The 26,753-nt window shown below is 45.7% G+C and overlaps 1 protein-coding gene and 1 non-coding gene across 6 annotated transcripts in view, besides 1 other annotated feature; both read left to right on the plus strand.

The window, feature by feature from the left end:
- The window catches only part of ABTB3 (ankyrin repeat and BTB domain containing 3), a 341,209-nt gene that overhangs the window by 35,602 nt on the left and 278,854 nt on the right, over positions 1-26,753 (plus strand). The window lies entirely within an intron of this gene.
- Positions 9,917-10,211: a silencer, noted in NCBI's record as "tiled region #10758; K562 Repressive non-DNase unmatched - State 24:Quies". NCBI's record gives its function as "represses a minimal TATA promoter and a strong SV40 promoter by Sharpr-MPRA in K562 cells {active_cell/tissue: K562}" and the evidence as "EXISTENCE:reporter gene assay evidence [ECO:0000049][PMID:27701403]".
- LOC124900324 (small nucleolar RNA SNORD74) lies at positions 20,712-20,794 on the plus strand. The gene has a single exon (XR_007063628.1). It is a non-coding gene; the product is annotated as a small nucleolar RNA SNORD74 (small nucleolar RNA).

Below are 26,753 nucleotides of genomic sequence, written 5' to 3' on the forward strand. Positions count from 1 at the left end.
CTGTTTTTATTGTACAGTTCTGAGTTTTGACAAGTAATAGAGCCATGGAACCAACACCGCAAATACGATACAGAATAGTTCCACAACCTTCCCCCAATTCTCTTGTCTCCTGCCTCTTTGAGAGCTAAACCCTCTTACATTCTTTCTCTCCTTGTGATAATTTATTATCTCTTAGTTTTTGTAATAGCTTTCTTGAGATATAATTCACATACCATACAGTTCACCTATTTAAGGTATACAAATCAATGGTTTTCAGTATATTCAGAGAGTTGTACAACCATCATCACACTCCATCTTAGGACACTTTGCCCCCAAAAGAAACCCCTATAATCTTTAGCAGTCATACTCCCCCAATTCCTTTTGTCTATCTTCTCCCCTGCCCTACCCCTGGCAACCACAAATTTATTTTTTGTCTCTATGTATTTATCTATTCTGGACATTTCATAGAAATGGAATCATATAATAGCTGGTCTTTTGTGTCTGGCTTCTTTCACTGATCATAATGTTTTCAAGATTCATCCATTTCTAGCAGATATCGGTACCTTATTCCTTTTTTATTGCTAAATAATATTCAATTGCATGGATGTACCATGTTTTGTTTATCCATCAATTGCTGGACATTTGGGTTGTTTCTGCTTTTTGGCTATTATGAAGCGGTTGCACCTTTTACAGTCCTCTGAGCAGTGTACGAGAGTTCCAACTTCTCCACATGCTTGCCGAACACTTGTTATTATCTGTATTTTTGATTATAGCCATCCTCGTGGGTGTGAAGTGGTGTCTCAGTGAAGTCTGCCTGTATATACCCTTAACCCCTGGCAATTCACTGGTTTATTCTCTGACCCTGTAGATTTGCTTGTGATGAATATGATGGCTGTAACCATACATTATATAGCTTTTTGACTCTGCCTTCCTCTCTATAGTATTGTGTACTTGAGATTCATCCATATGATTACATTCTTTTTTGTCGCTGAGTAGCATTCCATTGCATGCATGTGCTACCCCAGGAGTGCCTGCTTTTATTGCCAGTAATGTTTGAGGGGTCCCTCGCCCAAATGTATCAGAGGCCAAGTTCTCTCACCTGAGCGGGGGCTTTTTATAGTTTGAGAGATCTTTCGCATGTCTCCCCAGGCCGCCAGCCTCACAGGAGACTCCGCCTTTTCCTCTTGTAGGTCCCTCTGAGCTGCAGAGCTGGGCTCACCGTCTATGAGCTGGAGCCTTCCTGGGGTGGAGACCCACCTGGGATTAGAATTTCTCTGCGTCGTGGCTCTGACATGCCATTCTTGGGAAGCAGCCTGTGTGGGCCCCAGCCCAGTGAGGCAGGTGGGGACTGGACCACGTGGAACAGCTGGTGCCTGGGAGCCCTGAGCCTTCAGTGTCCAGCTGTCTCCTGTCTCATCAGGGAGCCCCAGAAGCTCCTTGGACGGATAAACAAAGTCATTTTCTTGTTCCCTTATCTCTTTTCATCTTTTCATGGCAGGTTTGCAGCTTGGGGCTTTGAGCACTGCCACCCTCATCCCCCACCCTGCCACCCTTGAATGCTCCAATTTTCCAACTTTCTATTACAGGCTCAGGGAGAATATGATGTAAAGATATAAAATAATAATGAAATTGCATCTAACAGGTTTATTATATATATCAGAACCCATGAAACAGACATAATAACTTTATGCAAGAAGAAATCAAGGTCATAGGTGGTTAAATCATTTGTTTAGTTATACTGCTGGTATGCAGCAGCCCTGTTGAACTACACTGCTGTTGAGTATCAGCAGTGCAACTTTAAACAAATTATTTAACCATGTGTAACTTTGAACCCACCGTCTGTGCTTTCATCTACTACCAGTGTGCCCTAAACCTCAGTTATTGGTGTAACACCTTCATAAGTCACTTCTACCTCTTGTGCTATTATTTAGCTAATGTTTTTTATTAAAATCATCTTTAATATTTCTTGCTCAGCAAAAACATGTCCCATTTTAAAAAGGCTGTAGCACAGAGGGTTTGATGTGCTAGTTTTATTTTTTTGTACTACACCTTCAAATGAATAAACACATAACTCACAATAAAAATGTTCATCCATATACCACCTAAGACCAGCTTTGCCCAACAACGATAGCTGGTCCACACTTGGGGGTAGGAAATGGCGTGATATACGGGGATTTGCTTATGGGTTCGTCATAGGTAGGCTGTGTCTGTGTTTTATTCATCTTAGTATCCTTACCACCAGGTACCATAAGAGATCCATTATGGGCACTTGGTAAATGATGAATGAATTGATGACAGAATGAACGGAGTTATCAAGGGGAAGATGAAGAATGAATGCACTTCCCCTTCCTTATGGAGAAGATCGGAAGGAATCCTCTTTAATACGATGAGGAGGCTGGCTGGGAGCTGGGGCCCAGCACCGCAGGAGCAGAGTACTTAGGAGCTATGATGCTGTGACCACTATGGAGAGGTTGGGAGCCTGCCATTCTCCGTGTGAAGCCCTTCCAGGTGTTTCAAGCTCTTGGTTTATAGGACTGTGAATGTCGTCATCTTAATACAGCCCTTCCCATCACTTTGATCCCTGATGGAAAAATTAGCTCTCATCTGGCTGGTTCTTTAGCTAAAAATGTTCCACCCTGTGTGCCACTTGCTGTTTTCCTTCTTTTCCAGCTTTCTCATAAATCCTGGCAATACTCCAGACAAATTCTGCACTATCTCCTTTAGAAACAAATGCAGCAGCAGAGACTGAGCAACAGTCAAGTCCACAGAGCTGTGGTTAGTATTTGTATGAGTCAGAAGATCTGTCAGTGATCCCGCCAGCTAAAGTTTACTGAGAACCTACTACATGCCAAGCACAGGGCTTATGCCACTGAATTCTCTTGTCCTTCAGAATCAGACCATCTGGGCATAGCCACTGAAGCTGGAACTTAACTTCTGAGTTTAAAAAGGAAAAAGAAAATCAGCTCAACACCTACTGATTGAAGGTTAGCTGTAATACAAAGATAAGTTTCTGCCCTCAAGGAGCTTAGAGGACCCTGAGGAATCTCGTGAATTACAGCTTTGGGAAGTTGCTTGTGCATTGGGTCATGTCTTGAAATGTCACTGTACTTGTTCTCTTAGACAGCCAGCATATTATGGACACATTCAGCAGGCAAATGCCACTTATCTGTTTGCCCAGCATTTATGGGGCATATTTTGCAAGAATGGCAACTGTATAGCACACCTGTGCTCCCACCTCCACCAACTGCTCCGTTGTGGGCATCCCAGAGATGGCCTCAGCATCCTTCTCTACCCAATGCCCCAGGCTTTCAGAGCTGGTATTTAAAATGAAATCTGTAATCTCAGAGACTCAGGAAGCCAAGACAGGAGGATGGCTTGAGGCCAGGAGTTCGAGATGAGCCTGAGCAACATAGGGAGACCCCATCTCTACAAAACTTTTAAAAAAAATTAGCTGCTTGTGGTAGCATGCACCTGTAGTCTCAGCTACTCAGGAGGCTGGGGTGGGAGGATTGCTTGAGCTTCAGAGTTTGAGGCTGCTGTGAGCTATGATCATGCCACTGTGCTCTAGCCTGGGCCACAGAGTAAGATTCTATCTCTAAAAAAATAAAAAATTAAAAAATAAAAATAAGTGATATCTGCTTACTGACCCTTCTCTGTTACTCTGTTATATTTTACTGGGGCTAAAATATCCTTTCTTTCATGAAATGATGGTGCTCAGAGCGTGCGTGGCACCACGTGGGCTGCATAGCACCCAACTCCACTGTCCACTCAGACTACATGTGCTCAGCAGCCTCTGGTCTGCCCTGCGAGGCCCTAATAGGATGAGAGATGGTAGTTGGTATTTCTGGGCATTTAAAGCCCTATTTGGCAAAATAACACAGTTGGCACCCATGTTGTCGATCCCTTACAACTATTAAAAAAATTACATGTCTCCAAAATTCCATCTTTCCTTCCTTCCTTCCTCCTCCTTTCTTTCCCTCCTTCCCTTTCCTTTCTCCTTCTGTTCTTCTCTCTCTTTCTCCTGCAAATATTAAATTGCCTACAATGAACCAGACAGTACTCTGGGGTCCAGGAGTAAATAGCACAGACAAAATCTTCTGCCCTCAGTGGAATCCACATTCTAGTGGTGGAGGGGGAAAGACACAAATAAATGCAATCTGTTATATAAAATATATAGCTTGTTAGGTGGGGATAAGTGCTACAGAGAAAAATGAACCAGGGAATGAGGATATATGCATTGGGAGACTGTGATTTTTGCTGGGGTGGCAGGAGAAAGTGGCATGTTAGTAGACCTTCAAAGAAGTTAGGGAATTAGCTCCACAGATACCTGGAGAAGGGCTTTCTAAGCAGCAGGTACAGCATGTGCAAAAGCACTGAAGTAGGAATGTGTCTGGTGTGTTTGTAGAAGAGTGAGGAGGCCTGCTGGAGTGCATTGCGGAGGGGAAAGTGGAGGATATAAGTTCAGACAGGTAATGGGGTGGAGTTTAAAATCCTGTCTCAAGTAATGATTCTCAAACTGTGGTCCCTAAACCACCCCAAACCCAGTGAATCAGAAACTCTGGGGGTGGGGTCCACCATCTATTTGTTTTTTTTTTCCCAAGACAGCGTTTCACTCTGTCACCCAGGCTGCAGTGCAGTGGCACCATCTTGGCTCACCACAACCTCCGCCTCCCAGGTTCAAGTGAGTCTCCTGCCTCAGCCTCCTGAATAGCTGGGATTACAGGTGCACACCACCACACACAGCTAAGTTTTGTATTTTTAGTAGAGATGGAGTTTCACCATGTTGACCGGGCTGGTCTTGATCCACCCTCCGGTGATTCACCCTCCTCGCCTTCCCAATGTGTTGGGATTACAGGCATGAACCACTGCTCGGCCTCCACCGTCTATTTTAAGGAGGCCTCCTAGGATTCTGAAACCCACTAAAATGTGGGAGCCATCTCTCTGCAGCATCCAGGCCAGGCCTGACTACCCCCGAAGAGTCTGCTGTCCCATCTTATGTTCTGGCAGGTTGCGGGCAGCAGCAGGTGTGGCATGGGACAGAAGGGGTGTCAGAGTTGACCTGACCTCCTGATCCTAAGAAATGCTGTCATCTCAGCATCTGGAAGTTGACATTCATACTAATAAAAAAAGTCAGACGTGGTGCCTGTGCTCAAATTGAGGGCTGGGCAACTGTGAGGACAAAAGGTAGGAGGCATGGAAGTGGGGCTGATGCCCAAGAGATGGGATCATTGACTGTCAGGGTGGAGAGACCCTTAGGACATCTGGTCCAGGCGTCTTATTTCACAGATGAGAAGACTGAGGCCTAGAAGGGAGAAATGACTGCTAATTAGATACAGATGAGATTGCTGTGCATCCTCTGGGCTTCTAGGCACCTGCTCCCTTTCCAGTCTTGCCTCCAGGCTCAGGGCTCTGGGTACTCCAAGAACACTGCTGCTGGGTAAATTCAGGGGATCCTGGTGGTGTGCTGGCTCCAAAGGGAGCAGAAACCGGATAGCAGAGATTACAGCTGCCTCTGACATGATGTCATATTAAAATGAAAGGTTTAGGGAGATGAGCACTGCAGCCTGTCACCAGGCAGCCCGAGTGTTATTTAGGACTTTGTTTTTGTCTTGGTGGACTGCACTCAGTGCAGCCGTGAGTCACCAAATGATAGCTCTCAGGTTTTGACCGCATCCCATGTGCTGGGTGCTGTGCAGACCTCATTTCTAAACTTTGTCTGTAAAATTCCCATTTTACAGACAAAAAAGCCAAGCCTCAGGGACTTTAAGTAACTTGCCCAAGACTGGGGTTTGATCCTCCCTCAGTCTGAACCAAAGCTGGGGACCTTTCCACTTGCCTCTGCTCCTTTCATCGTCAGCTGCCAGCCTATGGTTTGGGCACCAGTTTGACACCAGGGTTATTGCCAATTTTATCTCTTCCCTTACTTTCCTATTTTCCCTCCCTCTCTTCTTCTCTCTCTTCCTGTCATCATTCCTTTCTTTTCTTCCTACCTCAGAACTTTATCAGGTGCCCACCACGTGCCCAACTTATGCTGAGTTATAAAATCCAGTGATAAGAGATAGTTCCTGCTCTCAGAGAAACCCCATGCTGGTAAGAATAAGTCACATAACTAAATAGTTGTTACATTATATGGTCACTGATATAATCAATGTCTGAACAATATGCAATGGGAATGAAGGTAATGAAAGGCTTCCCAGGGGAGGTGATAGCTGAGCTGGGCTTTGCAGGATGAATAGGAGTCCATCAGAAAGAGATAGTAAGTGGTTGGAGAAGGGTGAGGAGAAGAAACAGCTCATCAGGGGCTTTGAGGGATTAGGGTATGGACCATCTGGGGGACAGCAAGAGTTTTGCTGGATTGGAGCCCAGCCAGTGGGGTAAGATGTAAGATGTTGAGCAGTTGGGACTTTCACCAGTAGGCAGCGAAGACCCCAAAATCCCAGGTTCCCATTTCCTGAATGTTTTCTCTAGGCTATTCTAAGCTCCCTGCTTTGGTCACCACCTCCCCTCCCCAGCCAGCAATGACTGTCCCACAAGTGCCCCAAGCTCCAACACAACCCTGCCCTGACTTGTTTCAGAGTAGAGTCTGAGCAATCAGCCTTTAACTGGCAAAGTCAGGGAAGATGCACAGTCCTATTTACCTAATGGCTCTGTTTCCAAAGGGGAGCCAGGCCCATTGGAAGGCAACAAGCGAAGGTTGTGCTCACCAAAGGAGTTCTCTCCATTAGTCACTGGGTACATGGCTTTTTGTATTTTTTCTGAAACAAGGTCTCGCTCTGTTGCCCAGGCTGGAATGCAGTGACATGATCATGGCTTACTACAGCTTCCACCTCCCAGGTTCAAGCAATCCTCCTTCCTCAGCCTCCTGAGTAGCTGGGACTATAGACATGCGCCACCATGCCCAGCTAATTTAATTTAATTTTTTTTTTTTTTTTTTTTTTGTAGAAACAGGATTTCACTGTGTTGCTCAGGCTGGTGTCAAACCCCTGGGCTCAAAAGATCCTCTTGCCTTGGCCTCCCAAAGCAGCACTTTAGGAGTAGCCCCTGGGATTACAGGTGTGAGCCACTGTACCTGGCCTCACCTGGCTTTTTGAGAAATAAAAAATACCTTCTTTTCATATTTCTGACTACATGTACATCAGAGAAAATTAGAGCATTCACATAAGTGATGAAAGGAAAAAATGTAACTGACCCATCATCCCACCATCTAGAGCTAAACACTGCTAACAACTTGATGTATTATAGCATTTCCCAATGTTTTTATGCATTTACGTTTTTTCCTTACAAGATAGAATCATATTGCACATACTGTTCTGTGCCTGCTTTTTTCATTTGTCAGATTATGAGTGTCCTTACGTGTCGTGATACGCTCTTTGACAGCATCATTTAAAATGGTTGCATGATGTTTTGTGTTCACTTCTGTAATACTGGACATTTAGTTGTTTCTCATTTTTCAGTTCAAATTACAGTCTGGAGTAAATTACTCTGCAACGTAACTTTTCGTATATGATTGATTATATCCCGAGGATAAATTCCTAAATGTGGAATTGCTGGATTTGATCCCCCAGTTCATAAAAGGCTTTGATTGCCCCCCAGAAAGGTTGCAGTGACAACCATTGAGGTTTGAGAGGATCTGATAAATAATACCTCCTTTCTCTACACTAGTTCTGATATAGCTGATGTAGACTGGGGGCAGGTCAGGGAGATAGAGATGGAAATGCTGCTTGTATTACTAATACAGGCTGCTTTGTAGAACATGGCTGCTATCGATTGGAGGTTTGTGTCCCACCCCGCCACCTCAACTTGTATGTTGAATTTTCCTCCATGTGAGAGTATTAGGAGGTGCGGCCTTTGGGAGGTAATTAGGTCATGAGGGTGGCATCCTCATGAATGGGATTAGTGCCCTTATAAAAAAGGGACCCCAGAAAGCTCACTTGCCCCTTCCAACATGTTAGGACATAGTGAGAATACCACCATCTATGAATCAGAAAAGAAGCCCTCATTAGACATTGAATCTGCTGGCACCTTGATCTTGGACTATCCCAGCCTCCAGAACTGTGAAAAAGAAATGTTTGTCGTTTGAGCTACTCAGTCTATGATATTTTGCTACAGCAACCCAAACAGACTAAGAGTGGCTTAGTGGTGTAGCCACAGTTGGCTTCCTGATACTGAATGCTACAATGAAGCAGATGTAAGTACCTACTCATGAGCTGTGCTAGGAAACTGCAGACCTCAACCTGGAACTATGGTAATGCTGGAGATCAGCAGAATGCTTGCTTCCTGCTAGTAGCTGGCTCCCAAGGAGGATGCGTGGATGAGCTCAGCTATGCCTGCCAGCTTCTCTTCCCAAACTCATTAATGAGATGAGGCCTTCCATCTCCCCAGGGAAGACGTAAGGGGCTAATGCCAGGAATGTCATACAAATGGATGTCCCTCCACGTGGCAGGAAACATCAGTAGAGGGGAATACTGTTCTCTAATAATAACAATAAAAATGGTAGACCAGGTGTAGTGGCTCACACCTGTAATCCCAGCACTTTGGGAGGCCAAGGTGCGGGGGTTGCTTGAGGTCAGGAGTTTGAGACCAGCCTGGGCAACATAGTGAGACCCAGTCTTTAAAAAATATTTAAAAATTAGTCTGGCAGGTTGGCACATGCCTGTAGTCACAGCTACTTGGGAGTCTGAGGTGGGAGGATTGCTTGAGCCGAGGAGCTTGAGGCTGCAGTGAACTATGATCATGCCACTGCTCTCCAGCCTGGGTGACAGAACAAACCCTGTCTAAAAAAAAAAAAAGATAGCTAATTTGTACTGAGCACTACGCTAGACATTTTTCATGCATCTTTTCTTTTGATTCTTCTAACAATGAGTTGGATATTCTGTCCATTTCCATTTTGTAGATGAGGAAACTAAGGGTTAGAGAATTAAGGATCCTGTCCTAATTCACCTAGCTAGTACGTAGAGGACCTGGGATTTGAATCCCGGCAGCCTGACTCCAGAGATCACTCAGCCATTATAAAGCTGCCTCCCCGTATCAGCATCACCAGACTTTTGAAAGGGTGATAACCCTTAAACTTAGAGGAAGATCCAGCTAAAAGGCCAGACTTCCAGCTTGTCATTGTCCCCGGGTTGAAATGGCATGCCCCTCACTGCGTTGGGGCAGGCCTTCTGCCCAGCCTTGTTCCCATGAAATTCATTAATTGCTTTTGAAAGAACCACTTCACCATGTGTTTTAAATTACCATGAGCAGCAATTATGATGGACTGCACACAACAGAGAGGACTTGACAAGTGTCCTTGCTTCTTAGAGAACTAAGAGAGACACACTTGAGTTCACAAAGTGAGGTTTCTGATGATTCCATTTTGACTTAAGGATTGCAGTGCCTCATTAAGGATCTGCTTTAATTTAGGGAGAAAACAATGAATCTGTTAAAGAAATAATTTTTGATTAGAAAGAAAACATATAATTTGGGAGGGGAGGATGAGAACACTAATTAAACTTTTAATTGTGTCTGTTGCCCTTTAGGGTGTAAACTAAGAAACTGAGTAAAGCAAGAGAAACAGAGTTTTTCTTTAAGCGGTTTTCCATTGTTCTAGGCAATTCCCCACAGAGCAGCCACCTCTGTTGTAACCCATTTTTAGTTGTAATTGCCATATAAGCTGAAACTAGGCTGTTTTTTCTTCTATTTTTTAAAGCAAGAAATTTTGGCATTTTAAAAATTACATGTCGTGATAATTTTCTTATTCTTTAAAGATTGGCTAAGGTATACTAAGAAATTGGAAGACCTACATATTTATGCATTAGTATATCTGATTGGTAAAAGTGTGAGTGAGGAAATACAGGATACTGATTAAGAGTGTGGATTCTGGAGTCCTAACTCTTGAGGCTCACAGTTGGCTGTACCCTCTAGCTATATGATCTTAGGCAAGTTACCCAACTCTTCTTTGCTTTAGTTTCTTTTCTGCAAAGTGGGGTTAACAACAGCACCCCTGTCATAGAGTTATTGTGAGGATTTTGTTACGATAAGCTGGGTTATGCTGAAGTAACAGACAAATCCCAAATCTCAGAGGTTGAATGCAACCAATGTGTACTTGTCACTCATGCAGATTCCTTTGAAGGGCCAGTGACCCCAGACAGTTGCCCTCCATGTGTTGGCTTGACATATTCCCTGCTGTGTCAATTTTACAGCCCCTTCATATCAACATGCTTCCATTCTTGCTGCAAAAGGAAAATAGATTATGGAGAATTATTTACTGGCTCTCAAATACTTTTCTTTTTTCTTTTTTCTTTTTTTTTAATGAGATGGAGTCTTGCTCTGTCCCCCAGGCTGGAGTGCAGTGGCGTGATCTCAGCTCACTGCAACCTCTGCCTCCCGGGTTCAAGTGATTCTCTTGCCTCAGCCCTCCTGAGTAGCTGGAACTACAGGGCACACACCACCACACCCGGCTGATTTTTATGTTTTTAGTAGACATGGGCTTTCACCATATTGGTTAGGCTGGTCTTGAACTCCTGACCTCAGGTGATCCGCCCGCTTCAGCCTCCCAAATTGCTGGGATTACAGACGTGAACCACCTCTTCTGGCCTTGGCTTTCAAACACTTCTGAAGGCAGCGACACAAATCACAAACCACAAATCACTGTTTGCACTTCATTGGCCAAAGCAAGTTGTGGTGCATGAATTCGTGTTGATGGAAAGGGCCCAGAAGCAGCGGGACACCAGGAATATTGGTGAGCAGCAGTATGTCTGTCACCATATGTCTAGTGCTTATTCGAAAGCCTGCATGGCATGCAGTACGTGTAAGTGCAAGCTATTGTTGCTGAAGGCTGGCGCTGCCAAAATTTTATTTTAAATTTTATTAAAGCTGGTTTTTCTTCCTTTGAAGATTTGATCTAAGGAATAACTTCCACACAAGCAAAGAGGCCAAATGGAGTCCCCTGGGAGGTAGTAGGTGTTGCTCTCTGTCACAGTGGTTGCTCCAGTACTCTGTACACAGTACATAGCACACATTTGGGAGGTAGCATTCGCAGTGTTTGAGAATATGGACTTAGAGTCAGACAGCCTTGAGTTTGAATTCCAGAGCTAACACCTACTGAATGTATGGCCTTGACCAGGTTATTGAACCTTTCTTAGACTCGGTGACTTCACAGTTAAAGTGGTTGTAGCAGTGCCCACATCACAGGGTTGCTGTGATAATTAAATAAGATAATAGATATAAAGTGTTTGCAAAACGTGATACAAAGTTGAGTGTTCATGGATAGTAATTGTTATTTTTTGTTGTGATGATGAGGATGAGCAAACTTTTCTGAACCCTCAACTTGCTCATCTGTAAAATGGGAATAATAATAGTTATTGTTCAGAGTTTTGGGGGATATGAAGGAAATCACATATATGGACACAATACACAGAGTAGACACACAAAAAAATAGGTGTTTTCCTTTTTTCTCTATCAACTTCATAATGATGTCAGATTTTAATCCCAATCCAGCTGTACTAGATTATTTGGGTATCTTCTTCAACTCTTCCCTGCCTCCCAAGTTGTGGAGGGTTGAATGAGCTGATACAAGCACCTACCAATGTGGGTATGTAGGGGCTGTGCAGTAAATGTCATTTGCTATGACCCCCAACTTGTCCCACCATGTTCTTTCCTCCCTAAAGTGCCATTGCCATGATGGGATGGAATTTTAGGGGCCAAGGAGGAGATGTGCTGTGATATTGGGTAGGTCCAGCTTGGCACTGCACAGATCCTAACAGACAACTGCACTGCAGTGAATGACCCTACCTGCTGCAGTGAGTGATGCCACCTGAGGCAACTGACCCACCAGAAAGTGAAAAGTTAACACTTTATTCACAGCTGGGTAGCATTCATGGAATTTGACAGCCTCTAAAGGAATGCTGGTCATCAGAAACCGCCTCACACTGAGATCCGTCAACAGTTGGCTTCGATGGGGGGCACCCCTGGGAGCTGATGAAGCCCAGATAAGGGATAACATATCCTGAGAACACACCACACATCCCTGATAGCATCACTGCCATGAGCACCTTTCAGGCCATAGTCACTGTTCTAGAAGGCTGCTGAGAGTGTGCCACCTTCTCTTGGAAGCCTTCCCCACCCTGCCACACCCTGCCTTCCCAGCTGGTTGGTCCCTTTTTGCTTTGTGCCTCTTTGAACCTTTTATCAATGTCTTTCAGTGCTTGACACCCTAAGCACCAGCACACAGTAGGCAGTTCACAGATGACTGTTGAATGAGTAACTAAGAGAGGAAGCCAGGGACCTTGAAAACAACTATTTTCCAGAGAAAGCATCGTACATAAGGTCTCTGGATATAATTATTCTCCTGAGAATAGAAGACTGAACATGTTCCTCCTCTTCTAAAACCTTTACAAGGAAGAAAAAAGGAAGAAGAGAGTAAAAAAGGAAAAAACCTAACACCAGGAAACAACTCTGGAGAATACCATTTGAGGCTGCAGAAAAGGTTCAGGCTTAGGAGAAAAGCATATGGAGATTGATTAGTCATGCCTGCTGGGGAGTGGGCTAGGAGGAGGGCAGCATGTAGGCTTGGGAGCTGCCATCTCTCTTCAACCCTTAACTAGCGACCAAATTAGTGAAAATGCAGCTTTAAGAGTGAAGCACGGTTTTTCTTCAGCCTCTAATTGGGAGATTTAGCAAACATGGTTTACTATTAAAGTGAAAATGGGGTGGAAAATAGACAATTTTATAATCCACATTGAGTCTATATTGGTACCCTATCAACAGAAAATATATATTTTTTAATGCATGAGAAGGAAAGTGACTCCTTGCATCTGAGTTACTGATTATTCTTTCTGGAAGGGATCCCATGGTATCCTGGGAACAGGCAGGAAGGACATTGCAAACTCAGGGTGCCAGAAGCACTCCACTGAGAGACCTGCATCACTTCCTACAGGTGAGGCCTGAGCAGAACTTGTAGGGTTCCCCACTTGGCTGTGCCTGTTGGCCATTTGTCCTTTGCTGAGAACCTGTCAGTCAGCTGGAGCACAGCCCCCAACCACTCCCCAAATAGTTGGGACACAGGTGATTTGCTTAGATTTTGCCACAGTTGGTACAGTCCGGTTCTTGTCTCATCAGACTGCTTGCTTCTTTGTCCTTTATTGGAAGGTGCCTTCCCCGGATCACAGTGAGGTGGAAGATTGGCAGTAGCTGCTGTGAATGGGTATGAGCCTATACCTTCATACCAAGGGGGTGGTAACCATAGAGATTGTGAAGTGAAAACCCATCCAAGTTGATTAAAATTTGGTGAGGAAAAGGAAACTCTGTGCTTGACTGATTGGCATGAAGAGTTTAAAATGCATACTGAAGTCAACCAAGAAAAATGATTTACACTTTTTCCTCTTTCCTTTTTGTTTTGGATCTTGGATTCAACAGAGGGTTGAATTATTCATACTCAGAAGTTCACGGAAATTTTATCATTATGCAAGGGCTCTCTCTCTCATTTTATTAATATTTTATTTTTATTATTTTTATGTATTTATTTATTTTAGACAGAGTCTCACTCTGTAGCCCAAGCTGGAGTGCAGTGGCGCAGTTTCGGCTCACTGCAACCTCTGCCTCCTCCCAGCTCAAGCGATTCTCGTGCCTCAGCCTCCGAGTAGCTGGGACTATAGGCGAACGGCACCACCCTGGCTAATTTTTTGTATTTTAGTAGAGACGGGATTTTACCATGTTGCCCAGGGCAGTCTCGAACTCCTGAGCTCGGGCAATCTGCCTGCCTTGGCCTTCCAAAGTGCTGGGATTACAGGGGTGAGCCACCACTCCCGGCCTCTCTCTCTCATTTTAGTTCTTCACTTTTTTGTCTATAATCTCCACTCCCCTGTAGGTACTCATCCAAGGCGTTTAATATATGCTCTTGAACAGGTACATGTCTTTATAAAACATGTAAAATTGCTTTCTGTGTGTGTGTTATTGATTTATAGAAACGATATTGCACAAAGGAGCTTGTCCTGATCTTTCCATTTTCACCTATGTTCTCAATATCTATCCATGTTGGTTGTACATCTAGCTTATTATTTCTAACAGCTGCACAGTTAACTCCATCAAGATAGGCTAAGTTATGCAGCGGTAATAGCACAAAAATCTTAGCAGCTTAAAATTATGCAGGTTTACTGCTTGGCTCCACTACATATCCATCCCGTTAATAAGAGTTTTGCTTTGGAGACGTAGGCTGATGGAGCCTCCACCATTCAACACGGCAGAGAGATGAGCAAGTAGCAAATCACACACTGGCTCTTAAAGGCTCTGTCCAGAAGGTGACAAATAGCACACTGATTTTTAAAGCCTGCCCAGAAGTGGCCAAAACAAGTCACATGGCCATTCTCCACTTTAAAAGCAGTGGGAACTGCAAGCCTACTATGAATCTAAGAGACGGAGACACTGGAAATATTTGGTGAACTGTGTAATGACTATCACATAGTTGGCACCCATCATATTTTGTGTCTATCCATTCTTTAATGATGGGCAACTAGTTGCATCCAATTCCCCAGTACCGTGAACAATAATGTTGTCATTATGGGAACAATCTCCTTTCACTTGTTCCCATATGGACCCCATGCAAGTATCTATACTCAGGAGTGGGTTGGTCGGGTCACAGGGTTTATACAAACTTGGTTTCGATAATCAGTACCAGGTGAGTCTCTGGAACTGCTATGCCAGTCTAGACCCCCACCAGTGGCGCGGAGGGGTTCCCATTTACCCATATCCTGTTTAACAATCAATATTACTCAACATTGTAATTTTGTAAATCTGTTGAGTATAATGTGGAATCTATTGTTACTTTCATTTTCATTTATCTTATTACTAACGAATTTGAGCATCTTTTCATCTGCCTGTTGACTATTCTGGTTTCCACTTCTGTGACCTGCCTATTCATATCTACAGACCATTTTTCTATTGCATTTCCTTTCTTTTCTCATTGATTTATAGGAGTTACATATGTAGTTAGATGTTAATTCTTTGTTGGGTTTAGACATTGTAAATATCACTTTCCACTCTGCCACCTCTCTGTTAACTTTGTTCACAGTGTCTTTTGTTGAACAGAAGCCCTAATTTTGATGTAATCAAATCTACCAACTTTTTTTTCTTTTTGCTTTTTGGTTCGTGCCTTGGGGATTTTATTTAAGAGGACCTTCCATGCCCTAAGTTCACAAAGGTATTGTTTCACTTTCTTCTGTTAGCTTTGTAACTTTGCTTTCACATTTAGGTTTTTCATCCACTTAGAGTCTACTTTCATATATTGTGTTTGAGAGGGATCCAAATTCATTTAGTGAGCCAGTTTTCTCGACATTATAGAACCATTCCTTTCCCCATCAAGATGAGATGCAACCTTTATTATAAATCAGGTTCAAACAAGGGTTTTTTTTTTTTTTTTTCTTTTTGAGATGGAGTCTCGCTCTTGTCACCCCGGCTGGAGTGAATGGTGTGATCTTGGCTCACTGCAACCTCTGCCTTCCACGTTCAAGCAATTCTCCTGCCCCAGCCTCCTGGGTAGCTGGGATTACAGGCACCCACCACCACACCCAGCTAATTTTTTGTATTTTTAAGAGAGACAGGATTTCACCATGTTGGTCAGGCTGGTCTCGAACTCCTGACCTCAGACGATCCACCCTCCTTGGCCTCCCAAAGTGCTGGGATTACAGGCATGAGCCACCATACCCAGCCCAAACATGGTTTTTTTTTTTTTTTTTTTTTTTTTTTCTGAGCTTTTGTTCTCTTCTGAGCTCTCTGCACCTTATTGTTCAAGAAATAAAACAGAATGAGTTTTGTTTGGCAGAATTTGCCTGGTGTATTCTGAGTAGGGGAGCCCTGATGATTTCCTGTAATGCTGGGAGGTGGTGAGGCATAATGAAACTAACATTAAACTTGGGGTCAGAGGAACCCAGGCTTGTTCCTGGCTCCACCACTTACAGCCACGTGAACTTGAACTACTCCCTCAACCTCTCTGAGCCTCCGTTTCTACATCTATTAAACAGCGATGATGATATGTATCGCCTAGGAATTCTGTAAGAGTTAAATGCTAGAATATATGTAAAAGCATAGCTTTCAGTAAACGTTATTTTCCCTTTGATCATTGTCACCAGACAAAAACTCTAACAGTAAGTGGTTTTCCCCAGGCCTCACCAAGGTAGGTATAAATTGGGAACACATTATTCCTGATCCCTCAAATGTCACTGCCTCTTGTTCTCGCCTGCTAATGGATGACTTCTCCTCAGTTCTTTCGTTCCTTCTGTGTATCCCCATGGTGGCCCATGTCGGTTCGTGGAAGCTTCCCGTTGACCTTCCCACCAATGAGCACACTTCCATTGGCACTGCAGAGGTTTCCAGGGACACACACTTTCTCTTCTTCCAAAGTCAGCCAATCAGCCCCACAGGCTTGGAGACAAAGGTAGATGTAGATGCTTAGCCGGGAATGTTGGACGAGTCCTCAGAGTGTGGCTCTTGCCTGGGCATTTCTTCACATGGGCTTTAGGAACACAGTATTTCTGCCTGGCTCCCCTTCCTCTCTCAGCCCTTTCCCCTGAAAAAATAGATAAAAATCAAGACAAAGCATGGTCTCTGGGTCACAGGCTTGAGGGAAGCATGGGAAGTGTTGCAGCCGTGCTCTGGACTGGGTGGCCTGGTGGGGCTGCTGAGCCTGTGCTGCTGGAAATAGTTTGGTTGAAAGGCCATGCAAAGCCAGCTCTGTGAAGGTGCTTCTTTGGCTGCCTATCAAAAAAGGGATTTTTTTTTTTTTTTTTTTTTTTTTTTTACAGTTTTGTGACTTAAGCTTTTGATCCCTTGGTTGTGGCTCTGTGCTGATACCTTTGCTGAGCCTTGAAGGGCTGTCAGGGTAGGCAGGAGGATCCAAAAGTTGTTTTCGACCCAGCACACTGGCCAAGAAAGGCTATCACCTTCCAAGAAGGGTGACCACCTCCTACTATACGGCAGCCCTCAGAGGGCGTTTATCTCAGCGGGCATTGTCCTGACCCACCCCCCTTCTCCTCCTCCCTTTGGATTGTGTTTTGAACTACTTACTGCTGGCATAGCCCATCAGAACATGCTTCCCTTCCCCCCAACCTTATGATATTAATAAAGCAATTTCATTCCTCTCTGGATCCTGGGACCTGTATGTAGGCTCTGGCTTGATTCCGGCTTGAGTAGCAAGCAGGGAGATCATTCTGGAACTGTGCTGTGTCAGAATGAGACTAAATCCCATCTCTAGGTTGCTTCTGCCAGGCTGACGGATTGGAGAGAAAGGAGATTTAGGAAATCTGCCCCAAACCTGTTGCTAAACAGCCTCACACTGTCTGTCTAGTCCCTGGGAAGGAAGGATTTGACTGGCAAATCTTGTTCTAGGATGAGACTAAGCTGCTGTCCTGCCAGGCTTCTACGAAGCTTTAGGGGAGAAGTATGGAGGTGGGTTGGGGAGGGGCACTCAGTCCAGATGCCCAGAGCTGGCCTCGTTTCAGAGCCAGTTGCCCTCTGATTTTAAGCAGTAAAGTCTGGCCTAGACTTTTGTAGTTATTCCTTTACTAGCAGAGGATTCGTTGCTTTTCCCTCTCATTTCTTAAATACTCCTGGAGTTAAGGAGGTAAATAAGTGTACGCTCAAGATAGATTATGAAATTGAGTTTTTTACTCCTCCTCCATTTCCATCCTAATAGTGCAGTATACTTGCTATATTTTTATGTTAAATGTGAAGAGGAAGGCCATAATTCACTCTTCAAGATCCATTTCCACTTATTTGATCTCCATTTCAGCTTGGATGGCAAAGATACTTGGTACTTCTGCCACTTGGGTTCTGTGATCATGGCAGACATAACTAATTAAGCACAGCACTTTTTCTCACTGAACTCAGATGGGACTTCAGGATCCTTCTCAACACAGTTCTAGGCAGCTGCTACTGATGAGAATCGGCATGTGAGATGTAAACTGTTTGCTCTCCTGTCCTGTAGGTACTCATCTGGTCTTCTTCATAGTTCTGTGTTCATTCTATTTGGTACTTTGTACCTTATATGACAAAGTATCTTCACTTCATAAAAAAGTGAAGACCTATATCTGAAAAAGTGAAGATATATTTTCTGTAAGTTGCTTGAGAGAAGAATCTGTGTTTGATTTACTTTTGCATCATCCCAATTCTGCCCTGTTGTCATCTTTAATACCTATTTGTTGGATCAATGAATGAATATATCTTCTCATTAAGGCTAAGAGGACAGTGTTGAAATTGTACTCAGGACCAGCGTTAGGTCTTGCAACTCCTTCCCCAGTGACACATGAATGAAAGCCAAGCAACAATTACAGAATACAAGCTGAGAGTACATTTAAGCCCATTTCCTGCCCCAAACCAGAACAAAGCAGGGATAGTTCATCTCATGTAAATTTCATAATACAGGAAACCACCTCCCCTGAGCCAAAATTCAATTCAACTTGGCGTCTTTCTCAGCTTGGTTCCAGCAAGTGTGTGGCACTGAGAGGTTGGATAGAGCCTGCGTCCTCAAGAAGTGTATTACCAAGGGGGGCCATAAGGTGTCCACATGACTAAATCAGCATAATAAACCCCTGACCTCCTCTACAACCATTCGCCTCTGTGCTCACTGAGCTCAGCTGCGTGGACTTCCTGCCACACCTGAAGATACACCCACCCCAGAGCCTCTATCACACCTGGCAGCCACTGCTTCACCCCCTTGCTTCCCTCCGGGCTTTTCTCAAATGTCCCGTATGTCCCTGATGACCCCATCATTCTCTTTCCTCCTTTTCTTACTTTATTTTTTGTAGCACTTTAACCAGTGGACCTGGAGATATTGACTTATTATTATCTTTGTTCATCATTTGTCTCCTGCCCTGGGAAGTGAGCTGCAGGGACATTGCCTCTTTGGTACATTGCTGTCTCCCCAGTGCCGGGAGCAGGGTTTATCAACCTCAACACCATTGGCATTTTGGCCTAGACAATTCTTTCTTGTGAGGGGCTGTCCTGTGCATGGTAGGATGTTAAGCAGCATCCCTGGCCTCTACCCAGTAGCTGCCAGTAACACCCCCTCTCCTCAAAAAGAATGCCTCCAGACATTGCTAAATGTCCCCTGAGGGAGAGGCAAAATCACCTCTGGTTGAGAACTACTGGCCTAGAACAACATTGGCACCTAGCAAACACAAATATGTGTTGGAAGAATGAATGAACTCCGCATTGGCTGGCGGTGCTCCTACTGTGTGCTGAGCACCGGTTTTCTCCCATTTACTGTTGCATCTGTGTGTGTAGATGGAGCAATTCCCATCTACACTTCCTCAAAGGCTGTTCCTAAATGTTTCAGCTGGGTGGTGCCTGTAGGAAAATATATGAGAAGATTCAGGGCCCATAAGCAGAGAAGCCATTAGCTTGAACCCACTTCCTGGGCCTCTGCCTGGGCCCAGAAAGCAAACACTCCCCTGGGGTTCGCTGCATGTATATAAAGCATCACTTTCCTTTGAGGAAGTGGGGGTGATTGTGAGGTTTAGAGATGATATCCATAAAGCATCTAAAACAGTTCCAGACACACAGTAGTAGATGCTTAATAAATGGCAGCTGTGATATTATGCAGAGGCCTTAACCTGACCCCTGCTTGCCTTTCCAGCATATTCATCCCACATCCCCATCTCCAAGCTCCTCTATCTTATAGATAAAGCAACTAAAATTGAGTCAGCTGGAGGAATGTGCCCAATGTCACACAGCCAGGAAGTGATGGAGGGGACCCTGGAGCCCAGGTGTCTGGGCTGTGGGACCCGGCACTTTCTCTTCCCTGGAGAGAGGGATGGCCCCGTAACTCAGCATCCTGCGCTTTCCCTAGCCCGGTGCCTTCCATTCATGCTCAGTAAATACTTGTGGGGGAACTGAATGCACAGCCCAGCAAATAAAATCAGACAGGATCAGTGCTGTAGTGGAGTCTGCGCAGACAGCTCGGGACACGTTGGAGGCGGAGAGGACTTTCCGGTGGAACTGTTAGTGTGTGTCCTGGGCAGAGGCCTGGGTGAGCCCTCCCAGAGTGAGCCCACTGAGTCTCCATGGTGGGAGGGTTCTGGAATCATCAGCCCCGTTACCTGCAGAGGGAGTGGGCAGGGAAGGGGGCTGGGGGCAGCCGCAGCCTCCCCTCCGTCTGCCTCGGTGCCCTGTACCCTCCTGCCTGGTCAGAGCACTTCTTTGTTCTCCCCTCTGCTCCGTTTTCCAAATCGGAGGCTTTGAGGTCTGCTGGGTCCTTTCCTTTTTCTACTTCCTACATCTTACAGCCCCTGCCTGACTTCGCAACAGACACAGTTCCGGCTTCAGAACTGCCCTAGTTGTCTAACCTACATTTCCCATTTCCTGCTGGGCAGGATCTCTCACCTGCCCTTCGAGGCTGGGTTTGAGGCCGACTCACTCCTCTCTCCTCATGTCCCCCTCCCAGGCTGGGACCCTCCCACACCAAGTTCAAAGTTGGCTTTTCAAATCTTTGCACTTTGGGGCCAGGGGAGGCCCTTTTCCTGAGTGCTTTCATCCTTCCTGGCCTTTTCAAAGTGAGCTCCGTGGCCCCACCCAACCAGCTGGGACCAGGATTCTTGGCTGTCCTGCTGAAAGTGATGCTTTATATACATAAAGTGAACCCCAGGGGAGCATTTGCTTTCTGGGCCCGAGCAGAGGAAGACGGCTTCAAGCTAGTGACTTCTCTGTTTATGGGCCCTGAATCTTCTCATATTTTTTCCTACAGGCACCACCCAGCTGAAACATTTAGGAACAGCCTTTGAGGAAGCCTGTGTTTGTAGGGACATCTGAGAGTGTTGATGAATGCCAACGGCTCTGATGGAAAAAATAAGCTAATCAAAAAACCATTTAGGAGTAGCTTTCCTCTACAATGAATAATTTCATCTTTCCTCATGCTCTGGTACCCACACTCACCTGAGATCTTTGACTGTTTTCTCTCTTGGGCCCTGAATGAATGCTTTGGGATGGAGGCAGTAGCTGGCTTTGGGGAAAGGTTAAGTCTTTTTGGCTTCCTCTGGTCATGCAACACACAGAGAAAACATTTAGCAAGCAGATTCCTGGACTGAGGAACCTCCCTGAAATGGAAACACTAAGGTGTTAAGTGTTAGGGGTTCCCTTTAAAATAACAGTAGTGGCTGGGTGCCGTGGCTCACGTCTGTGATCCCAGCACTTTGGGAGGCTGAGGTGGGAGGATCACTTGAACCCAGAAATTTGAGACCAGCCTGGGCAACATGGCGAGACCTTGTCTCTACTAAAAATACAAAACATTAGCCAGGTGTGGTGACATGTGCCTGTGATCCTGGCTACCCAGGAGGTTGAGGTGGAAGGATCACCTTAGCCCGGGAGATTAAGGCTGCAGTGAGCCAAGATTGTGCCGCTGCACTCTAGCTTGAAGGACCAGAGTGAGACCTGGTGTCAGAAATCATCATCATCATCATCATCATCATCATCATCATCATCATCATAAATAAAAATAAATAAAATGACAGCAGAAACAGCAGCAACAAAACCAAAGCCCTCTCCTCCCTGTGGGCCAGTGGGGCACCTCCAGGGGAGAAGACCGGGGGCCCGGTGCCGTTCTACCTCTCACTGGCTGTGGAGCCCTTAGCAGGTAGCGCGAAGTTTCTGGGCTCAGGTTCCTGGTCTGTAGCACAGTGATGTTCGTTACTTACCTGCTGGAGGCCAGACCTGGGCCAGATGGTCTCTGAGGTTCCTTACTACTTGGTTTCTGTGATCCCCTCCCTTCCACCTCCACTGCCCTCTTCCCAGCTGGACAATTGTTCTTTATGGACTTCTCTTCCTGCCCTAGGAATCCTATACCCTTCACCTGTGTCTCCTATTCAAACCTGCAGAGGCTTCCCTCCCATCACCTTGGGAGTCGAATCCAGGGTTCCTGCCTCGACTGAGGCTGTGTACCATCCTGCCTAGCCTGGGCTGCTTTTCCAGCCCACTTCCCCATGCGCCATCTCTTATTTGTCACTCTCCAGGCCCAGGGCCCTTTTTGCTATTCCTTGAATAAGACCAGCAACTCTCAGCTTCAGCTTTTGCCCTTGCGGTTCCTTCTACCAGGATGGTGTCCCCTAGACAACCCCATGGCCCCCGTCCTCACTTCTGTCTGGTATTTGCTCCCCTCCTCGAAGATGCCCTCCTCTCCCTCCCTCACCACCCTGCGCTCCAGCCATCCCCTTCTGTCATCTCATCTGGCCATATTTTCCTTCACAGGGTATGTATTACAAACATATTTGGTTCTTTTGTTTCACTCAACTCCAGGAGGGCCAGGCTTTCTCTGTTTTGTCACCACTGCGTCTCTGGTCCCCAGAACTGTTCCCAGCACATAATTGTAGGCCTTGAGTATATATTTGATGAATGGATGAATGAATGAATTTGCATTTATGCTGCAAACTCCTTGCTCCATGTCTCTGGATCAGGTTGATTTATCTGGGCTCAAGTTCCTTAACTGAACAATGGGCTTATATTCACCCTAACACCTCACAGTGTTGTGTCTGGCTGCAGTTCAGAAGGAAAGCAGACCTGCAGCCATCTATCCACCTTCCAGCGGAACAGATTCTCAGGCCCCTTGCAGCCCTGGCATTGCGCGATGCTGTGATTCGTCTGTGACCCTTAAAAGACCTGCCCTTAACTCCCGGGGTGCAATACAGCAGTAGAGGTTCTCAGCACCGAGAAACAAGTACTACTGCTGTGGCCCAGAGCAAACAGTTTTCTCCTTCATTCTGAGTTATGTAATAATGATCAGAGCTGCCTTTTATTGAGTGATTACTATATGCCAGGTACACATGCTGTTTTATTCAACCCTACAACCCTCGCGCTGAATGTGCAAGGTGCTCTCAGCAGCCCTGTTGTTCAGGTGAGGGGCCCAGAGGTATAAGGGGCAGATTCTCCATTTGAGCCCAGGCCCGTCTGAGTCCAGAGTCCAACATCTCACCACTGCTGTGTGTTTTTCTGCTTTTCAATGAAGAAAAAGCGTCAGTGGCTACTACCTGGACTGTCTTGGACATGGAGATGCACTGCTCAGATACCCCTTCAGGACTGAAGGGCCTCCCCCACAGCTGAGGGGAGTGCTGCTGGCGCAGCTCTCAGCTTTCTGTCTGCTTTGGAAGTTGACCTTGTTTGAGAGAGCTTCTGGGCCAAAGTCTCACCCCTCTCCCTAGGCAGCCCATGTCCAGGGACTGATTGATGTAGGGGTATAAAAGCCCAGCCCCCATGCACCAATTTAGGACAGCGCTGAAGCATCATCCTAGCTTGCTAACACCCACCAGAATGGCCTGAGGCCTCTGTTGAGACTGCATCACAGTCTAACTTCTCCCTCTGTCCGGTTTTGCTTCTCACCCTTCCCTGCCACTGGGGTTGAGCCCAAGAACACTTCCTTGAGAGAGAGAGAGAGAGAGAGCAAGAGTGTGTGTGTGTGTGTGTGTGTGTGTGTGTGTGTGTCCCATGTATACTCCGTTTATGCTCATCTCCATCTCCTTATTTGCTTCTTGGGAATCCCAACTTGCCTCAGGGACATCTCCCCTGGATCCCTGTGGGTCTTAGAGGGTCCCATGTGCTGGAGGTGACCATGTGCTTGGAGGTGACTGTCAATCTAGCTCCTCATTGTGGTTCTGAGTTGTGATGTTTTCTGGTTAGACGAATAACTCTTTGCTGAGCTACTGTAAACATACACCATGGTCATTTCTGGCAAATGCCTGTTGAAGATGGATGGTTTGGGAATGAGAAAGGCAGAAATGGGATTAACATTGCACACAGCTCACACAGCCAAGAGGAAGACCTTGTTTTGGGAAGGCAGTGGGATGTGGCCAAATGTAATAAAGGCAGTAGGATGTGGCCAAATAATGTTTAAGTCTGGTTGCTTCAATGACAGCCCCATTCTGGACTTGTTTTAATCCCCTCGTAGTTTCCAGAAGGACCACAACACACACTTGACGCTCAAGAAGGGTGGGAAGAAGATAAGTGAATCATCTGGTAGGGAAGTAAAAGGGAACCATGCAAAGCGAAAAAGTGGGGAACATAATCTCATTATGGACTTCGGGAGACCAAGCCATGTGTAAATTTCACAAACACCAGTGGAGTGCTTCCTTTGTGCAAAGCCAATGCCAACGGCTGGAATATTAGATGATTCAGCTGTGGTCCCTGTCCAGAAAACACTTGTGACTCAACCTTGGGCATGTCCCTTAACCACTTTCTTTGGCTTGGCTATAGGCAGACATGGTCTCTTAACCTCAAGTCACTTAAATATTGGGGGATGATGGGATTGCTTCCTCCTGGCATCTTCCCTGCTCATCCCCTTACTTTGCACATCATTTGGCAATGACTGCACCACTGCCACCACAAATTGCTATTAATTATTGAGCACTCACCATATGCCAGGACCTGCGCTTAAAGCAATTTATGTACACTATGGTATTTCATCCTTATAACAACTCTATAAGGCAGATACTGTCCTATTTTATACATGAGGATCTGAGGCTCTGGGAGCATAGGTAATTTGTCCAAGGTCTTATAGCAAGTAAGTAGGGGAGCTAGGGCTGTCCAACAATGCACCCCATCCTCTTAGTCCCCTCCACCTGGAGAAGCCCACCAGTTCATGTTTTTGGCTCTCACCTTGTCCCCTTACGGCCCTCATTCCCCTTGAGCTGTCTAGTTCTGCCTCCACACACTGGCTCGCCTTCCCTGTTTCCCTTGTCACAACGCATCCTGACTGTTCATGCCCAAACCTACAACTGTGCTGGCTCCCTCTGTCTTTGGGACTAAGAATGGATCTTCTGTCACTTGTGAAAACGTCCCCTGATGGGTCTTTGGCTGCATGCCATGCCCTGTGGACAAGCATTGGGGTTCCCTAAGAGGCTGTAAAATAGGAGTCACTGGGATTCTGCCTGCATCTGATGTGAGAGCCACCCCTGCTTTTGTAGCACAGAGTAACAGATGGTGCCAGAAGGAATTTAAGAAGCCTGATTTTTGCTCACAGCAGCAGGCAGTGTGGTGTAGTGGTTAAGCACCAGAGCCATCAAAGTTGACATCCTGGACTTACCATGTACCTGCTGAATGACCTTAGGCAATTTACTGAACCTCTCTGAGCCTCCCTTTGCCCTTCTATATAATTGGGATAATAGTAAACTCCCATAGGGTTGGTGGAAAAGTAGGTGAGACATTGCATTTAAAGCACACATTGCTCCACCTGGTGCAGAGTAAGGGCTCCATAAATGGTCCTGGTTGTTGGCATTGCTCTTGGTGTTAGTAGACCAGTTGATAGGGTTTGTCTGTGTCCCCACCTAAATCTTATCTAGAATTGTAGCTCCCATAATCCCCACGTGTCATGGGAGGGACCTGGTGGGAGGTAATTGAATCATGGGGGTGGGTTTTTCCTGTGCTGTTCTTGTGATAGAGAAGAAGTCTCACGAGATCTGATGGTTTTATAAAGGGCAGTTTCCCTGCACACACTCTCTTGCCTGCCGCCGTGTAAGACGTGCCTTTGCTCCTCCTTTACCTTCCACCATGATTGTGAGGCTTCCCTAGCCATGTGGAACTGTGAATCCATTAAACCTCCTTTTCTTTATAAATTACCCAGTCTCAGGTATTTCTTCATAGCAGTATGAAAATGGACCAATACACCAGCCACAAATTGAGTATCCCCCACATCCCATCCTCTCTCATTCCTTTTCTTCCTTCCTCAATATTAATCATTACCCACTACCAGCAAAGCCTAGTGCTGGGACAGTTGGAAACAGAGAGATGACAAAGACTGACTCAGCCTTGAGGAGCTTACAGAGCCCTCTAGAAGAACAAGGGTCAGTTGGACAAGCTGCCAGGAAGCCTTAGCTTTGAATCTCGGCTCCACTCCTTGCTCCATGTCCTTGGATCAGGTTGATTTATCTGGGCTCAAGTTCCTTAACTGAACGATGGGCTTATATTCACCCCAACACCTCACAGTGTTGTGTCTGGCTGCAGTTCAGAAGGAAAGCAGACCTGCAGCCATCTATCCACCTTCCAGCGGAACAGATTCTCAGGCCCCTTGCAGCCCTGGCATTGCGCGATGCTGTGATTCGTCTGTGACCCTTAAAAGACCTGCCCTTAACTCCCGGGGTGCAGTACAGCAGTAGAGGTTCTCAGCACCAGCAAACGTGTTCTGAACTGAGCGCTGGTAAACAGAACCAGTGTTTACGAATGGGTGTCACTGGCCTGCTGCTTTGCGTTTTATCACCGAAGATTATGGAAGATTGGGAGCTCTTATTTCAGAGCATGCTTTATGGTTTTCATTACTCTCCTGAATCTCTGTATAATTTGCTGGGATTAGGGACGGAGTGCCTTTGTTTCTTTGTTTGCATTCTTTTCCTTCCATGTAAACCAGTAAAAATCAATAAAAAGCCAGCAGATGAAAGCCCCGCCCACACCAGAACTTGGCTGCGTGTCCCAACATGACTGAGTTGGCCCCTTCTTGGTCAGGGAACAGGCTGAGTGAACCTGAACCTAGGTTTTTGTTTCTGTGTGGTCTGAAAGAGGACCACGCCCTGTATTTACAGATGGGGAAACTGACACCAAGAATTAGGAAATGACCTGTCTAAGGCTGATTTACCTAGCATCTACTGAACCCCATGCCGAGTCATTTGACAAATTATTTTGGGGTGCCTGCTGAGTGTAATTAGCAAGGATCAGGGAGTGGCTTTGTTTCTTTGTCTGCATTTTTCTTTTTAACCCTGAGCTGAGCTGCCATTCTGTCACAATAGTCTCTAAAACAGGGTACATGCGTGAATGTGCACGAAAGGGCAAGAGGA

Source organism: Homo sapiens, chromosome 12 (genome assembly GCF_000001405.40).
Source record: "Homo sapiens chromosome 12, GRCh38.p14 Primary Assembly".
Taxonomy (NCBI): domain Eukaryota; kingdom Metazoa; phylum Chordata; class Mammalia; order Primates; family Hominidae; genus Homo; species Homo sapiens.